General features: G+C 44.8%; 1 annotated feature.

The window, feature by feature from the left end:
• Window positions 237-737: an enhancer, noted in NCBI's record as "H3K4me1 hESC enhancer chr4:41290173-41290673 (GRCh37/hg19 assembly coordinates)". NCBI's record gives its function as "activates a minimal SCP1, AML or CMV promoter by ChIP-STARR-seq in primed H9 embryonic stem cells {active_cell/tissue: H9 hESC(primed)}" and the evidence as "EXISTENCE:reporter gene assay evidence [ECO:0000049][PMID:30033119]".

The raw sequence follows: 3,185 nt of genomic DNA, 5'->3' as shown, positions 1-3,185 counted from the left end.
AAATTATATACTTACAACAGTTAAATTTTTATGGTATGTAGATTATACCGTAATAAAGCTGATAGCAGCAGGAAACAAATTCCTAGGCAGACAGGGACAGGACCCCGGTGAAACCCGACCTTCAAGTCAAAGACAGCATGAAGCTGGAAAACCAAACTGCCAGTTCTGGGTGGAGTCCACGACCACAGTGAGAACTTCCTTCATGCCTTTTAGCCAATCGAATGGTGCTTTTTCCAGGCCAAATCATGGACCAATTAGCACACACTCTCCTATTCTGAGCCCACAGAAAACCCCGGACTCAGCCCCACAGACCACTACCCACTTTCAGCCCCGTCTCACACAGAGGGCTGCTCGTTTCAGGGTCCCTCTCATTGTCAAGAGCTTTTCTTTCGCTCAATAAAATTTTATCTGCCTTGCTCACTCTCTGATGTCTGCATACCTCATTCCTCTTGGTCACGGGACAAGAACCTGGAACCTGCTGAATGGAGGGTGCGAAAAGAGCTGTAACATACATTCCTGCTCGCAGAGCTACCGGAGTGAAAAAACCACTTGACACCACACACCCCCATTCACTGAGCTGCGGGCAGCAGGACCGAACAAGCTGTGACACTTCCTGGGGGCTCAGACCTTGGGACTCCCCAACCAAAAGCTGTAACACCCCTTGGGGGCTCTGCAGTTGCTGGCATCTCCGAGTTTTTGGGTACCACCACATCTCCCTTGTCCAGACGCCGGCACCCAAGGCAGAAGCTGGTCACCGCACGCCTTAACCAGCCACAGGCTGGGCACAGAGCCACAGCAGGCGTGCGATCTGGGCCAGTAGCATGAGCAGAGCGCAGCCTGCTGAGCAGAGTGGGTGAGGTGAGCCCAGCAGGCCCATGTGAAGCCCCAGCAGAGGAACTGCTGACGGTGGAGATTTTTGTCTGGCAAAGTGGCACCAAAAGAATCCTGTGTCAAAGCGATTAAGAAAATGGGGGAGATATATAATCAGAGGGAAAGATTAGGAAGAAAATTAATGTACAATGCATGCTGATTTCAAAAGTTTGAGAAATCCAGAGTATATTGTAAGGCAAAAAAGAAGGAAATGCTATAAATATTTGAAGGCCCCTTTTGTGATTGGGTAAACAATATCAGAAGACAGTCTGGGGGCAAATTCATGAAATAAGTCAATTGCACAAATAATAGTAAACTTATGGCCTCTATACTGGCACCACATGTCTTTACAAAAAGGGGCATGGGTCCATAGCATCCCACGGAAGCAAATATAGGCACATGAAGTAGAAAAACTAAGCCTGGTCTCTGAGCCAACTGTTGTTCTTTATTTCAAAGATGATTTTATGGGCTTTAAATTTTAAAATAATAATTATCATAAAGCTCTCAAATGTGGCTTTCGTGTTTCCAAAAGGAACAAAAAAGAGAGCCTTCCAGAGTGAACTGACTCTGTTGGTGGCATTTCTGGTGGCTGATGCCTGCAAAGGGCGGTGGGGGGTGGGAGAACACAGAAAAAAATAGTCCCAGAGGGAAGTAGGCAATGGGTCATACCTGAGGGCCTGGGATTCTTTCCTGCACACAAAATGTGAAGTATTTCAGTCCCATGCATGCTGAAGAACATTTTTTCATTGTTTTCATACAGATTAGATTTATGTGACCTTCTGCAGCAATGAGTAAAACATGCGGATCAGATTTCAATAAATAGTTAAGGTTACACATTACTTTTCCTGTTTAGGTTTCACCAGCACAGTGCCTCATGATGAAAAGCATAAGCAGAGGTTATAAATGAGGTAAACATAGGCTGTGGGCTGAACCAGAGAACCCAGATGACCTTCAACATCCTCAGGGAGGATCTAGAATCAGGGAGTGTGGTCAGTTTTTGGAATTTCAGTGTATGCTTTTCACCCTCATATTCAGAGAGATAGAGAGGGCAAGGAACTGAGAAGAATCAATATGACTTCTTCCCAGTCCAACCATGAGGGTCAGTGGTAGGGACAGAGAATGGGTGGTTGACAGAGGGCAACAAGGGGGATGCCCAGTGTTTTAGTGAACACATTGCATTGCCTTATTAAATTATGTGTGAGACCAGGTACAGTGACTCAAACCTGCAGTCCCAGCACTTTGGGAAGCCAAGGTGGGAAGATTGCTTGAGGCCAGAAGTTCGAGAACAGCCTGGACAATACAGGGAGACCCTGTCTCTTAAAAAAAAATAAATAAAATTAAATTATGTGTGAGTTTTCTGTTGCTGCATAACAAATTACCACAAACTTAGAGGCTTAAATCAACACTCCTTCATTAGAGCATAATTCTGCAGGTTAGAAGTCTAGCACAGAGTGACTGGGTTCTCTTCTTAGAAACTTAAAAGTTGAAATTAAGGAGTTGGCTGGGCTATGTCCCTTTCTAAAGCTCTGGGGGAAGAATCAGTTTCCAGGCTTATATGGGACAGTTGGTCAAGTTCAAGTCCTTGCGGTTGTAGAACTTACATCCTCATTTCCTTGCTGATGGTCAGTTGCAGACCAGTCTTAGCCCCTCAAGGCTGCCAGTCGTTCCCTTGCCAGAAAGAGCCCAGTCCTTTTTAAGGACTGGGTCAGGCCAACTGAGTATAATCTCTCTATCTTAATGTCCATTTATTTGGAGCCTTAATTACACCTGCAAAATCCCTTCAGTGCAGCATCTAGATTAGTGTCGGATTAAATACCTGGGAGAAGGTGTCTGTGCACCAGGGGCTGGGAATCTTGGGGACCATTTTAGAATTCTGCCAAGCACAGATTAGTTATTAAAGATTCTCCAGTCTAGCTAAGTGGTCCTTAGGGGTGGTAGTGCCAACCCCTAAGGGCTGTTTTGGAAATGTGTGGGCAAATATTTTGTTGTTGTAATCATAGTAGGGTAGGTCCCACTGGCATTTAGTGTTCAGGGCCCGAGTCACCAGAAGGCAGTCTCATACAATGAGGAATTTGTGCTGCGTCTTACACAGCTTTTGAATGTCCCCATGGGGACTCTTGTAGATGAAAAATCTGTGTATAATTTTCTGATCCTATATATAAAATATTTTTCACAGAGTTTTTGCACTGAAGTTTTCATAAGTGCAATTATGGGGTAAATCAAGGGCAGAATGTAATATAATTGTGTTTGGAATTTTGCCAAGATGGTTCACCATTTTGGAAACTTCCCATGGCCAATAATGAGCTGCTGTGACC

This window comes from Homo sapiens, chromosome 4 (genome assembly GCF_000001405.40).
Source record: "Homo sapiens chromosome 4, GRCh38.p14 Primary Assembly".
In the NCBI taxonomy this organism is placed as follows: domain Eukaryota; kingdom Metazoa; phylum Chordata; class Mammalia; order Primates; family Hominidae; genus Homo; species Homo sapiens.
The sequence above is the reverse complement of the archived record's forward strand: the minus strand, read 5'-3'. Positions and strand labels throughout refer to the sequence as shown.